This window comes from Homo sapiens, chromosome 22 (assembly GCF_000001405.40).
Source record: "Homo sapiens chromosome 22, GRCh38.p14 Primary Assembly".
NCBI classification, from domain to species: domain Eukaryota; kingdom Metazoa; phylum Chordata; class Mammalia; order Primates; family Hominidae; genus Homo; species Homo sapiens.
In genome coordinates this window covers 41,384,717-41,399,944 of record NC_000022.11, presented here as the reverse complement: position 1 = coordinate 41,399,944, position 15,228 = coordinate 41,384,717, and the positions used below count along the sequence as shown (strand labels likewise).

At 50.3% G+C, this 15,228-nt stretch overlaps 1 protein-coding gene across 2 annotated transcripts in view; it reads right to left on the bottom strand.

The window, feature by feature from the left end:
• Positions 1 to 618: 618 nt before the first annotated feature.
• TEF (TEF transcription factor, PAR bZIP family member) overlaps positions 619 to 15,228 on the bottom strand; it is a 31,872-nt gene continuing 17,262 nt past the window's right edge. For both annotated transcript variants that reach the window (NM_001145398.3, NM_003216.4), the window contains exons 2-4: positions 12,277 to 12,594; positions 5,629 to 5,849; positions 619 to 4,200 (exon numbers count right to left, since the gene is read on the bottom strand). In NM_001145398.3, coding sequence (NP_001138870.1) covers positions 3,985 to 4,200; positions 5,629 to 5,849; positions 12,277 to 12,594 — 755 coding nt within the window. In that variant the 3' untranslated portion in view covers positions 619 to 3,984. The remainder of the gene's footprint in view (positions 4,201 to 5,628; positions 5,850 to 12,276; positions 12,595 to 15,228) is intronic.

Genomic DNA, 15,228 nt, shown 5'->3' with positions numbered 1-15,228 from the left:
CAAGCTGGAGTGCAGTGGCATGGTCTCAGCTCACTGCAACCTCTGCATCCCAGGTTCAAGCGATTCTCATGCCTCAGCCTCCTGAGTAGCTGGGATTACAGGTGTCCGCCACCACGCTCGGCTAATTTTTTGTATTTTTAGTAGAGATGGGGTTTCACCATATTGGTCAGGCTGGTCTCGAACTCCTGACTTTGTGATTTGCCTGCCTTGGCCTCCCAAAGTGCTGGGATTACAGGCGTGAGCCACCGCGCCCAGCCCTTTCTTTTCTTTACAGAGCTGCCATCACGCATTCTCTATTCGAGAACACTTGTCATAAGCAGTTCCCTGTCTTCTAGTTGTGTAGCACCTTTACCTGTTCAAACTGCTTTTGGTCTAATATTTGTCCCTCCTCAATATAAGCAAGGCGAGAATCACTTCCATCTGATAGATGAGGAAACTGAGGCAGAGTGGTTGGGGTCAGATGCTAAGAGTGTCTGGACTGTGATGAAGGGGGTGTCTGGGGTGGATTCTAATGAGATAAAAGTTTTCCAGCTTGACTCTCCAGCTCCTAGGCCAACACTCAAGAGAGGAAACTCAGGGTTGGGGGTGGGGAGAAGGACAGAAAAGACAATCCCAACATTCTCATTTCAAAATATTTAATTTTGTCTGAAAAGGATACATTCCCGGCTTCCCTCCCACCACATCACTCCGGCCCACCAGCAGTGACACACTCGCACGCACACACGCACATAAGGCCAATGGGCTACGGTCTGCTTCTGCCCTCTCTGGCTGGGAAGAAGGAATTTCTCTCTTGCCTCCTTCCCCCAACAAAGGTAAAGAGAGGGGCCCGCTGGAATGCCAGCTCCCAGGGAAGGACACAGAGCCCCACACACTCTATCACATCACATGCACTTAGAAAAATAAAACCAAGTGGTGTTCTGGCATCCCCAACACCGTAAGAGAGCAATATCCACCTGGAAGTCATCTTTGCCATTTTCTAGAAAAATTTATTGCACTTAATTAGCAGATGTTAAAGGAGCTCTGGAGTAGAGCTTTGCCATGAAAACCAGATGCTCCTCGGCCCTTTGCGTTCCAAGGAGCACGGCTCCCGGGGCCCAGGTAGAGGGCTGCCCAGCTTCAGAGGGGTTTTCCCCCACTGGCTTGCATGCCTCCCGCCCTGCCTCAGGCCAAAGGACCGTAGGAGCGGCCTGCACAGCCCCTCAGCAGGGTTACATGTACCCAGACTTAAGGTTCACTGCTAAGTGCCCCCTCCAACCTCAGAAGCCAGACAGGAAAACCTCTTCCTTTGGCCAAGGGTAAGAGTTACCCAGGTCCTCCACAAAGTTGCCATAAACCTTGAAAACTCTCCCTCTCTCTAAATGCACACGTTCCTCCATCAGATGAGACATTTATAATATGAATATTCTTGCAAAGTTCCAGCTCATTCATGATTTGTCTGTTCTGAGGTTGCACTGAGGGTGCCACAAAGCTTTAGACAGGATGCTTAGGAAGTAGACGGCACTTCCAAGCCCATCGGGAACCCACAGAAAGCCAAGGTAAAGTCAACTTCTCTAGCCTCCAGTGACTGACAGATGTCAAAGATCCAAGCACAGGAGCCGCAGTCTCCAGCGGTCGGCCTCCAAGAAGCAGAGGGCCCAGGAGGGAGCCGAGGAGACTCCCATTCCCTCGACAGAAACTGAGCAGGCACCAACCCTCTCCTGCAAGCATGGATTTTTTTAGGACAGGAGAGGAGACAACCTTACCTGAGCACTTCTTTTCCCCCACAGGTCAGCCTCTGTGGACATCCTCCATCTTGTCCCCACCAGGCTCCTGACTCAGAGGGGCATTTCGAAAAGAGTCCAGCAGCCACACTCTTTCCAAGTAAGCACTTTGGGAAAGAACCCGATACCCACTGCCTGGGGGAAAGAAGGGAGGGCACCAAACAGGCAGAGGGCGGGATAAAGAGGAGACACATCGAGCCACCATCCCAGCCACCGGGCTCGGAACATGGACACCAGAGATTTAGTGTCCATCCTTAAAAAAATAAAACTGCAAAAACACAAACCATATACTTTCCGGCAAAGAAAATGAAGAGCTTTTAAGCTCAAGGCTCTTCCACTAATAACAAAATGAGAACCGCCCTCTTGGTGATCCACCAGGCCAGAGGGAGCGTGCCCGGGAGGGAGAGCTGCCCGGGGCAGGACACTGACATGCTGGATGCGCCTGCCCTGTGTGGTTACAATAGAGTGAAAGTGTGTACATGGTTTTTAGAGAACCACAAAGTAAAAGTCAGGGGCCTGGAGGGAGGAGTGACCTCCCTTGGCCTCAGGGCCCCTTGTCAAGTCCCCCGGAGAGGTGGGTGTGCAGGTCCCCAAAGGGCCGTGGCATTCCCCTGGGGTGAGGTCCACGGCTTGGTCTTAACGTCTGTTATGAAAAGTCTTTAGAGGTCAGGGCCTGGGACTCTGAACCACCACGGTAAATAAAGCCAGTGTTACGGAGGACGAAGCACGCCCATCGCCTCTGTCTCCTCTTCACCATAGGCTGCCCGCCCTGAGCAAATAAACACACCCATCTCAGGGGTGTCCCAGTGACCCAAATGAGCAGAGGCTTCCATGAGTTTCCTCAGTGAATCTTCTGAGCACAGCAAAAGGGCGAGTCCCGCCACACAAGAGAAAGGAGTCGTTGTGAGGCAGGGGAGACCACAGCTGTGAGAAGCCACAGCATGGCCAGCCTCACGAGTGGCCCCCATCTCCTGGGACCAAGACTGAGGGGACCCTAGGCCTGTGTAAAAGTCCCAAGAGCCTGCTATCCCGTGAAAGTGGCACTGTGACCTTGGTGACTCTAGACTAGGTGTCTTGCCCTGCTGACACCCTCCGGGCAGCTCGCATGGGAGAGATCCTGAAGCAAGAATTGCGAGGCCCCAGCTGCCCCCAGGGAGAGTGCACTCCAGCCCAGGCCACACCGGTGAGCAGAGCAAGAAAAAAGGGAGCTTCTCAAGAAACACACCCCAGCTCTCATGCCCATGGTGGAAGGGGGCTGTGGAGGCATTTTCTAAACACCACTAGGAAGGTGAATCCTGGGGTCCAGGAAGTTAAAGCCTCCTAGATAAGAGGGGTTTTCCTTTTAAATCTATGATCCAAGACTGGACATTGGGTGGAAAGAAAGAGCAGGCCCAGAGGCCTGGTCTAGTGGGACAAACGAGCTTCACATGGCCTCTGAGTAGCCTGGAGAGGAAATGAAGAGGCCTCTCTCAGCCCTGGCACTCATGGCTCAGACAGCAGCCATCCTAGGAGTCTCTCCTCCACAGCCAATGAAATGCAGAGACAGCCGATGGCCTCAGAGCCATAAGGGAAAAGGGGTGCGGGAGCCGAGAAACGCTGGGCACACTTCTGCTGCAGGCCCCAGCCCCAAGCCCCATCCCAGGCTGTGCAGAGACCCCACTCCTGCAGCCTGCTACCCATGCAGACACTGACGGAGGAGCTGGTGTGTCCTGCTTCCAAGGAAGATGGGAACAGATGTTACTCAAAGACTGTCTGGGGAGAATGAGGTGCGTGACAGACACACCTTAAGTGGAAACGCGCCCTGCTACCTGAGAAGACATAGGGTGACAATGATCACAACTCATTCTGCAGAGATAGCCCTCGGCAGCCCAGGCTGGAGACTGAGGGAGAGTCCAGGGACCCTGAGCGCCCAGGAGAGAGGTGTGTACTCCAGAGGTCCCCTTCTGATTCAACTGGGACATCCAAGAATAGAAACTAAGGCTGAGTCACCCATCTACGCAGATTCTCTTGCGTTCCCCACCAGTGAGGAGACTGGCCCCTCAGGGACGTCGCCACGTGCGCAGGCCATGGTATAATGAAGCTGAGACGTGGCCGCTCCTGCAGCAGGTGCGCCGCCATGCGCCCACGACGAGTCATAAGTCTCCACGCGTGTGAGGGGTTACAGGGAGCCCCCAGGCAGAGGTCTGAGGTGCAGGCAGTACCCCGCCCGGGCGGGGGGCACGGGTTACAAGGGCCCGTATTTGGTCTCATACTTGGACACGATGGTCTTGCACTTGCCCACCTCCTTGCGTAGCTCGGCCACCTCCGTCCGCAGGGCTGTGTTCTCCTTCTCCAGGAAGGCTGCCCGGATGGTGATCTGATTCTCTTTCAGGCGCCGGGCATCCCGTGACCGTTTAGCTGCCACGTTGTTCTTCTTGCGTCTTGTCCAGTACTTTTCATCCTGTGGGGAAGTGCCCTCTGTGAGTCTCTCGTCTTTCCCCACGAGAGAACCCAATTTTTCCACTCCCACCACCTGGATTCCCCTAACTCATCTGGTGTGGCCAGAGCTAAAGCAGGGATACCAGGGAGGGAGCAGCACAAACCAGGGCACATTGAGGGCACTGCCCTTTCCTCGGGGGCAGGACGAGAAACAAAAGTTATTTGGTACGTTACATGGTGAAGAGAAGGAGACTCATCTCCTGGAGGCCTGGTACCTGCTGCTCCAGCACAAAGCATTGCACTGTCCACACCCTTGCCTTACTTAGGCATGTTGGTTGTGGGTAAGGGCCTAGATCCCCGAGTTCAGATCTTGGCTCTCCAAGATTACTAGCAGTGAAACTGTGCAAGTACTTTAACCCCTCAATATCACAGGTCCCTTATCTTTACACTGAGAAATAACAGGCCAGGCATGGTGGCTCACACCTGTAATCCCAGCATTTTGGGAGGCTGAGGCAGGTGGATCACTTGAGGTGAGGAGTTTAAGACCAGCCTGGCCAATATGATGAAACCCCATCTCTACTAAGAATACAAAAATTAGCCGGCGTGGTGGTGCACATCTGTAATCTCAGCTACTCAGGAGGGTGAGGCACAAGAATCGGTTGAACCTGGGAGGCGGAAGTTGCAGTGAGCCGAGATCACGCCACTGCACTCCAGCCTGGGTGACAAAGTGAGACTCTGTCTCAAAAACAAAACAAAACAAAAACAAACAAAACAAAAATCAGTGCCTGGCCTACAGTGAGTACCATCTAAATATTCACCATGATCATCACATCATTATTAAAGTCTCACAAACCTCCCCGGGAGGGAGGTTCAGTTGCTCCCGTTTTACAGATGAGGAACTTGAGGCACAGCTAGGCCACAAGTGGCAACATGGAGTTTGGACCCAGGTGTGCCTGACTCCAAAGATTTGGATGAAAAATCCTTGCTGTAAGTTTTTCATAGGAAAGGATGGAAAACTGCAAAATTCTCTCTTCCCACCAGTTCCTAACAGCACCACCAGCTTGAAAGCTGCTTGCTCATCCCTGGGGATGGCAACATACAAGAAACCCTTTGTCCTTCAAAGCAAGGACTTTTTCAACCCCAGTTCCTGTGGCCTAGTGAGCTCTTGCCCAGTGGCTGGGCTACAGCCAGGGAGGCAGGAACATCAACACAGCCGATGGCCCGGGGAAGGAGAGAAACTACAGGGAGTCACACTGGGGCCAAATGCCACATGACTCCCTTTCTTTCTACCAAACTGCTGAAGGATATGGCTTTAAGCACTAAACTCATGTCTTTCCAAATGGTGTCACAAGGAGGGAAGGCTCTCCAGATAAAATCAAATGCGAGGAGCCATATCCCCTAGGCCCTTGAACCAACGCTGCATCTTTATTTATAAGGAATACCAGGTTACCTTCTGCTCGTCGGGGACAAAGACCTTCTTGGCCTTTTTGATCATAGGCTGGGGCTTCAGGTCCTCCTCAGCAAACTTGTGCTTCCGAGGGTTGAAGAGCTCCCCGCCTGGCACACTGGAGAGCACCAGGTCGGCGGGGTCCGGATTGAAGTTCACATCCACTTCCACACAATTGGGGTCGATGGGACTGGGAGTCTCCCTCTCCTTCTCCAGGGAAGATTCTAAAAGACACAGAGACAGGTGGTCCCGAAGCAGCCCACTGGACAGAGAAGACCCACGCCACACACCCAGACACCTGGTTGAACCTCAAGGCTGCATAAGCCACTGCCGCCTGGGGAGAAGAAAACCCCAACAGTACCAGCCCCTAAGCCAGACTGGCACACGGTTCAATTCCACAACACAAACATTCAAAGAATTCTTTCCTTCAGGAACAGAATGCTCAAAAGGAAACAGAAGCCCTAGAAAAAGACAGGGTTTTCCAATTGTTTCCACCCCCTCCAGAAATGTTAAGCAAAACATTAATTTTTTTTTTTTTTTTTTTTTGAGATGGGAGTCTTGCTCTGTCGCCCAGGCTGGAGTGCAGTGGCGCAATCTCGGCTCATTGCAAGCTCCGCCTCCCGGGTTCATGCCACTCTCCTGCCTCAGCCTCCTGAGTAGCTGGGACTACAGGCGCCTGCCACCGCAGGTGCCCGCCACCAAGCCTGGCTAATTTTTTTGTATTTTTAGTAGAGATGAGGTTTTACTGTGTTAGCCAGGATGGTCTTGATCTCCTGACCTTGTGATCCGCCTGCCTTGGCCTCCCAAAGTGCTGGGATTACAGGCATGAGCCACTGCGCCCAGCCTAAAACATTAAATTTTTATATTCCCTTAACTTCCTGTGATTTCAAGATCTCCAGTAATGAGAAACAGCTGTGTCTCTCCAGGCAGACACAGACTGAAGAATGGAAATGGGTTCCAATTTTTTTTTTTTTTTTTTGAGACAGGGTCTTGCTCTGTCACCTAGGCTGGAGTATAGTGGTATGATCATGGCTCACTGCACCCTCGACCTTCTGGGCTGGAGTGATCCTCTTGCCTCAGCCTCCTGAGTAGCTGGGACCGCGGATGCACACCAACACGCCTGGCTAATTTTTTTTTATTTTTTAGAGACAGGGTTTCATTATGTTGCCAGGGCTGGTCTCAAACTCCTAGGCTCAAGTGATCTTCCTGCTTCAGCCTCTGAAAGTGCTGGGATTACAGGTGTGAGCCACTGCACCTGGCCAGGCTCCACTTTTCTTTTTCTTTTGAGACTGAGTCTTGCTCTGTCACTCAGGGTAGAGTGCACTGGTGCAATCTTGGCTCACTGCAGCCTCCACTTCCCGGGTTCAACCGATTCCCGACTCAGCCTCCCGAGTAGTGGAGACAACAGGCATAAGCCACCACGCCTGGCTAGTTTTTGTATTTTTAGTAGAGACAGGGTTTCACCATGTTGGCCAGGCTGGTCTTGAACTGCTGAGCTCAAGTGATCCACCCGCCTCGGCCTCCCAAAATGCTGGGATTACAGGTGTGAGCCACCACGTCCAGCCCGGGTTCCACTTTTGAGTCCCTGAGACATGTCTGTTACTGTGCCATCTAGTCACTTAGTCTTTTTTTTTTTTTTTTTTTTTTTTGAAGAGTCTCACTCTGTTTCCCAGGGTGGAGTGTAGTGGCGTGATCTCAGCTCACTGCAACCTTGACCTCCTGGGTTCAAGCTATTCTCCTGCCTCAGCCTCCCAAGTAGCTGGGACTACTGGCGCCCACTACCATGCTCGGCTAATTTTTGTATTTTTAGTAGAGACGGGGTTTCACTATGTTGGCCAGGATGGTCTCAATCTCCTGACTTGGTGATCCACCTGCCTCGGCCTCCCAAAGTGCTGGGATTACAGGTGTGAGCCACTGCGCCCGGCCCCATTTAGTCTTATGACAACTAGTTTACAGATGAAGAAACTAACGCTCAGAGAAATAAAATGGTTTTCCCAGAGTCACACAGATGATAAGCAATTGAACTAAAATTTGAAACTTAGTCTGGCTGGCTGATTCCTTGTTCTTCCCTGCCCCACCTGGCTGCCATTTAATAGTGGACACCGATTGGGTTAAAACCACCTCTAGAATTCTAAGGTTGTGTGTTATTAGAGATAAGAGTTATATTAAGAAAAACTATACCTTTGGCCAGCTCATTCAATGCTACTGATAGGAGTATACAAAATAATTATTCAGTCAACAGATACTTATTGAATACCTGTTATATGCCAGGTTCTGTCCTGGCAAAGACAAAACAGTTAACAAACAGCTAAAAATCCCTGCCTGCATGAAATGTTATTCTAGTGGGGAAAGCTGCATTACACAAGATAAATACAAACGATATATAAAAATGTCAGATGGGCCAGGCGTGGTGGTGCACACCTGTAATCTCAGCACTCTGGGAGGCCGAGGCGTGTGGATCACGAGGTCAAGAGATCGAGACCATCCTGGCCAACATGGTGAAACCCCGTCTCTACTAAAAATACGAAAATTAGCTGGGCGTGATGGCATGCGCCTGTAGTCCCAGCTACTCAGGAGACTGAGGCAGGAGAATTGCTTAAACCCAGTAGGCAGAGATTGCAGTGAGCCAAGATGGTGCCACTGCACTCCAGCCTGGCGACAGAGTGAGACTCCCTCTCAAAAAAAAAAAAAAAAGTCAGATGCCGGCCTGGTGTGGTGGCTCATGCCTGTAATCCCGGCACTTTGAGAGGCTGAGGTGGGTGGATCACCTGAGGTCAGGAGTTCGAGACCAGCCTGACCAATACGATGAAACCCCGTCTCTACTAAAAATACAAAAAGTAGCCGGCCGTGCCTGTTATCCCAGCTACTCAGGGGGCTGAGGCAGGAGACTCGCTTGAACCCGGGAGGCAGAGGTCGCAGCGAGCTGAGATCACACCACTGCACTCCAGCCTGGGTGACAGAATAAGACTGTCTTAAAAAAAAAAAAAAGAAAAGAAGATCCTGCAATGCATAGGTCAGTCACGCCTCCAACCCCAACAAAAAATCATCTGGTCTAAATGTCAATGGTGCTGCTGATTCTGACTTTTATCCTGAGATAGAACACCTGGAGGGCTCTGGGCAGAGGTGTGGCATGATCAGACTTAGGCTTTAATTGGATTATGCACATAAATTCATTGTATCCTATTAGACAGGGGTTAATTACAGAGACATCTGAGTGTCAGAGGAGTGAATGACCAGGGACCCACATGGTAACTGTAGGCAGTTTCGGGCATGCCAAACCTAGTACCTGCAAGACAAGCAGCTCAGGTACCTACCACATGAGAATGTTGTTCAAAGTGACGCCATGCCTGGGTGCCCTTCAGCAACAACCAAGTGGCAAGATGTGGTTAAGTTTCAGGGACAGGATAAGAGAAAGCCGCAGGAAACAAAAGGGGAAAATTTGCAAAGAGGCCTGGGGACAAGATTTTGAGGAATTCTCATTTCCCCATGGATACCTCTATGAACAAATTCTAGAAAATGACAATGAGGGCTGAGCGCAGTGGCTCACGCCTGTAATCCCAGCACTTTCCGAGGCAGGTGGATCACCTGAGGTGAGGAGTTCAAGACCAGCCTGGCCAACACGGTGAAACCCTGTCTCTACTGAAAATACAAAAATTAGCCAGGTGTGGTGGTGGGCGCCTGTATTCCCAGCTACTCAGGAGGCTGAGGCAGGAGAACTTGAACCTGCGAGGCGGAGGTTGCGGGAGCCGAGATCGCACCACTGCACTCCAGTCTGGGTGACAGAGTGAGACTCCATCTCAAAAAAAAAAAAAAAAAAAAAAAAAGATGACAATGAGACCTTAAAATGACTTTGCTGGAAGAAGAGGGAAAGGGAATAGATCTGTTGGTAACTTGCCTGAAATATAATTCTCTCATAGGTCCACCATTACAAAAGATGTCAAAATCAAAGGCTGACAATGGAACTCCAATGCCCTGCTGGTGTGAGTACAAATGGATATAACAACTTTGTACGCTATTTGGCAGGGTCTACACAAACTGAACATATGCATGTCCAATGACCTAGCCATTCTCTTCCTAAGCAAATGCCCAAAAGAAACGCATATATATATTTACCAAAAAACATGTAGATGGGCCAGGCACAGTGGCTCACACTTGTAATCCCAGAACTTTGGAAGGTGAGGCAGGTGGATCACCTGAGGTCAGGAGTTTGAGACCAACCTGGCCAACATGGCAAAACCCCATCTCTACAAAAATAAGCCAGGAGTGGTGGCGCACACCTGTAATACCAGCTACCTGGGAGGCTGAGGCAGGAGAATCGCTTAAACCCAGGAGGCGGAGGTTGCAGTGAGCTGAGACCCCGCCACTGCACTCCAGCCTGGGCGACAAAAGCAAGACTCCGTCTCAAAAAAAAAAAAAGACATGCACATGAATGTTCATGGCAGCATTATTCATAACCAAAATCAGAATGTCCTTCAACGGTTAAATGGATAAGCTGTGGTACGTTAGTACAATTGACTACTATTCAGCAATGAAACTTAACAAAGCGGCTGGGTGTAGTGGCTCATGCCTGTAATTTCAACCAACACTTCGGGAGGCCCAGGTGGGAGGACTGTTTGAGGCCATGAATTTGAAACCAGCCAGGGCAACACAGTGATACCCTGACTCTACAGAAAAAAAAAAAAAACTTTTATTTATTTATTTTGAGATGGAGTCTTGCTCTGTCACCAGGCTGGAGTGCAGTGGCGCCATCTCGGCTCACTGCAACCTCCGCCTCCCGGGTTCAAGCGATTTTCCTGCCTCAGCCTCCAAGTAGCTGGGATTACAGACACGCACCACCATGCCCAGCTAATTTTTGTATTTTTAGTAGAGTCGAGGTTTCACCATGTTGGCCAGGATGGTCTCGATCTTTTTTTTTCTTTGAGATGGAGTCTTGCTCTGTCGCCCAGGCTGGAGTGCAGTGGTGCAATCTCGGTTCACTGCAAGCTCTGCCTCCTGGGTTCACGCCATTCTCCTGCCTCAGCCTCCCGAGTAGTTGGCACTATAGGCACCCGCCACCACACCCGGCTAATTTTTTGTACTTTTTAGTAGAGATGGGGTTTCACCGTGTTAACCAGGATGGTCTCAATCTCCTGACCTCGTGATCCACCCACCTCGGCCTCCCAAAGTGCTGGGATTACAGACGTGAGCCACTGCGCCCGGCCTGTAAAATACCATTTATGAGACAACTTTGGAAATCTGAATGTTGATGGATTTATTGTCAACTTTAGATGTAAAACTAGTATTTTCGTTATGTTTTTTTTAAAAGAACCCTTATATTTTAGATACATATTGAAATACTTATAATTTGATTGAAAATAACTGCTTCTGAGTTGAGAATTGTTGAAGCTGGGTGACGGTTACATAGAGGTTCATTATAGTCGTCTCTTACTTTTGTATTTTGTTTGAAAAAATTTCCACAATAAAAAGAAAAAAAAATAGAGTATGAGAACTTATTGGGTGTGGATTCCTGGGGTGACATACCGACTGGCAGGAGCTATCAGCCTGTATGCCTCAGAGACTGCAGAAAGCTTTGCAGAACCCCTGCAACAGGAGCCATGTCTCCTTTGGTAGGTTCGTGTCCAAGGAGCATGAAAACAAACCCCCAGAGATAAAATGTAAAAGGAGGAGGAATAAGGACAGACTCTGAAGATGATGTTTGTCCTGGCCAGGTGGTGGGAATGCTTTCTTTTTTTTTTTTTTTTGAGATGGCGTCTCACTCTGTTGCCCAGGCTAGTAGGTAATGGAGGTAGCACTTGAATAGTGCTTATGCCCTGGCACAAAGAAAGCATTCCCCACTTTGGGAGGCCAACGTAGGTCGATCACCTGAGGTCAGGAGTTCAAGACCAGCCTGACAAATATGGCAAAACCCCATCTCTACTAAAAATAAAAATCGCTTCAATCCGGGAGATGGAGGTTGCAGTGAGCCAAGACCAGCCTGACAAATATGGCAAAACCCCGTCTCTACTAAAAATACAAAAATTAAGGCTGTGCGTGGTAGCTTACGCCTGTAATCCCAGCACTTTGGGAGGCTGAGGCGGGCAGATCACCAGAGGTTAGGAGTTCGAGACCAGCCTGGCCAACATGATGAAACTCTGTCTCTACTAAAAAATAAAAAAATTAGCCAGGCGTGGTGGCTGGTGCCTGTAATCCCAGCTACTCAGGAGGCTGAGGCAGAGAATTGATTGAACCCAGGAGGTGGAGGTGGCAGTGAGCCGAGATTGCTCCACTGCACTCCAGCCTGGGCAACAGAGCGAGACTCCTTCTCAAAAAAAAAAAAAAAAAAAAAAAAAAAAAAAAGAGCAGCATTGAGGAAATGCAGAATGGGATTTCTATCCTGTAATGCCGTGGCCTGGAAGGTCCTGTCCTGACTGTTTGCAGCACAGCAACCAACAGAAGGGTTCCAACTGCCAGTGACATGACCACTATTTTTATCTCCAGCCTCGGGGAACTGTGTGGAAGGGTGGGGAGTGAAGAGTTTCTCCACACTGCAGCCCCACCAGGACCTCCCCTCAGAGAAGGGACTCACTGGGTACATGGACACAAGCAGCCCTCAGTGGGAAATGGACTTCCCTGGATGGGACAGGTGGCCCTCCTCGATGGCCTTTCACCAACCTGTGCTGGACACGGTTTCAGAGGGCTGAAAGATGGCAGTGGAGGAGGATGGTGGGGATGCTGTGGAAGAGCTGGCAGACTCCTTCCCTTCTAGCTCTGCTACAGGCAGCAGCAGGTTGTGGGCCAGGTGGGTGGGGCTGGCGGGGATGCCATTCTCCAGCAGGAACTCATCCAGGTCCATGTACTCCAGGTGGAAAGATTCGCCATCATATGGGATGGTCTTGTCCCAGATGGGTGGCATGAGGGAGGCTGAGACAGCCATGGTGCTGGCGGCTGCGGCCTCGTCCTCCTCCAGCTTTTCCTTCCCCTTTTCCTTATCTGCAGAAACAAAATCTGCGATGAAATACCACACAGGAGAGTAACTCAATCCCAGGAAGTGGGCAGTGAGCCTCACAGGCCTGGCCCATCTTTCTCAGAGCCCCGATTCCAACCCATGCATTTCAAGAACCTACTCTATTCTCCAGTTCGAATCTCGCACTTGAACCAGGCCGGCTGTTTTCCTTTAGACACGGCATCCCATCCTCATCCATGCCTGGCCTTCCCAGAAGGCTTACCACATACTCTGAGACCTTAAGCGGTCATAGGGTTAATTCATTATTTAATTTTATTTTAGTTTTTATTATTTTGAGACAGTATTTTGCTCGTCGCCCAGGCTGGAGTGCAGTGACCCAATTTCGGCTCGCTGCAACCTCCACCTCCTGGGTTCAAGCGATTCTTGTGCCTCAGACTCCCGAGTAGCTGGGATTACAGGTACGCACCACCATGCCCAGCTATTTTTTGTATTTTTAGTAGAGATGGGGTTTTACTATGTTGGCCAGGCTGGTCTCGAACTCCTGAGCTCAGGTGATCCACCCACCAAAGTGCTGGGATTACAGGCATGAGCCACTATGCCTGGCCTGTTTTATTTTATTTTATTTATTTATTTGAGACAGAGTTTCACTTTTGTTGCTTCGGCTGGCTTACAATGGCGCAATCTTGGCTCACTGCAACCTCTGCCTCCTGGGTTCAAGCAATTCTCCTGTCTCAGTCTCCCCAGTAAACTGGGATTACAGGAGCCTGCCACCATGACCAGCTAATTTTTTGTATTTTTAGTAGAGACGGAGTTTCACCATGTTGGCCAGACTGGTCTCAAACTCCTGACCTCAGGTGATCCACCCGCCTCAGCCTCCCAAAGTACTGGGATTACAGGCATGAGCCACCACGCCCAGCCTGTTTTATTTTTTTTTTTGAGATGGAGCTTCGCTCTGTTGCCCAGGCTGGAGTGCAATGGCACAATCTAGGCTCACTGCAACCTCCGCCTCCCTGGTTCAAGCGATTCTCCTGCCTCAGCCTCCCAAGTAGCTGGGATTATAGGCATGCGGCACCACGCCTGATTAATTTTTTTTGTATTTAGTAGAGACTGGGGTTTCAACATGTTGGCCAGACTGGTTTCGAACTTCTGACCTCAGGTGATCCACCTGCCTTGGCCTCCCAAAGTGATGGGATTACAGGCGTGAGCCACTGCACCTGGCCACAGGGTTAATTCAGAATAGCCTGTAGCACTGGCCAGGTGCGGGGGGGTCAGGATTGCAATCCCAGTACTTTGAGAGGCCCAGGCGAGTGGATCCCGAGGTCAGGAGTTTGAGACCAGCCAGGCCAACATGATGAAACCCTGTCTCTCCTAAAAATACAAAAATTAGCCAGGTACCGGGGGCGGTGGCTCACACCTGTAATCCCAGCACTTTGGGAGGCTGAGGCGGGTGGATCACCTGAGGTCAGGAGTTTGAGACCAGCCTGGCCAACATGGTGAAACCCTGTCTTTACTAAAAATACAAAAATTAGTTGGGTGTGGTGGTGGGCGCCTGTAATCCCAGCTACTCAGGAGGCTGAGACAGGAGAATCACTTGAACCTGACAGGCAGAGGTTGCAGTGAGCCAAGATCATGCCACTGTACCCCAAGTCTGGGCCACAAAGAGTGAAACTCCGTCACAAAAAAACAAAAACAAAAACAGAATAGGCTGTAGGATTAGCATCTGCAGGAGAGAGACTACAAGGAGGGAAATGGAGTCTCTGACCTTTCCTGATACCTTAGCTTAGAAAGGGCTGAGATCTTCAGGCCAAGAACTTCTGTGTTCCCCTGTCCTGTTCCCTCCAGTTATGCTTCTCCACAGCAACCCAGCCCAGGGAGGAGTCCCATTTTTGCCACTTGCTGTTTGATGTGTGACCTTAGCCATGTTACTTAACCTCTCTGAGCCTTGGTATCCTCCACTGTACATAAGGATAAAGATGTTTCTTTGGTGAAGATTAGAAATAACTTTTTTTTTTTTATGAGAAGGAGTTTCGCTCTTGTTGCCCAGACTGGAGTGCAATGGCGCGGTCTCAGCTCACCACAACCTTCGCCTCCCGTGTTCAAGCGATTCTCCTGCCTCAGCCTCCCAAGTAGCTGGGATTACAGGCATGCGCTACCATGCCCGGCTAATTTTGTTTTAGTAGAGACAGGGTTTCTCCATGTTGGTCAGGCTTGTCTTGAACTCCCGACCTCAGGTGATCCATCCACCTTGGCCTCCCAAAGTGCTGGGATTACAGGCATAAGCCACAGGGCCTGGCCAGAGATAACATTTGAAAGTGTCTTTACAGCCATGCGCAGTGGGATCACGCCTGTATCCTAGCACTTTGGGAGTCCGAGGCGGGCAAATCACCTGAGGTCAGGAGTTTGAGACCAGTCTGACCAACATGGTGAAACCCCGTCTCTACTAAAAATACAAAAAATCAGTCAGGAATAGTGGTGCATGCCTGTAATCCCAGCTACTTGGGAGGCTGAGGCAGGAGAATTGCTTGAACCTTGGAGGCGGAGGTTTGTAATGAGACGAGACTGTACCACTACACTCCAGCCTGGACAACGAGGGCGAAAGTCTGTCTCGAAAGAAAAAAAAAGTGTCTTTACAGTGTTCCTGGCACACTGTAGGCATCATT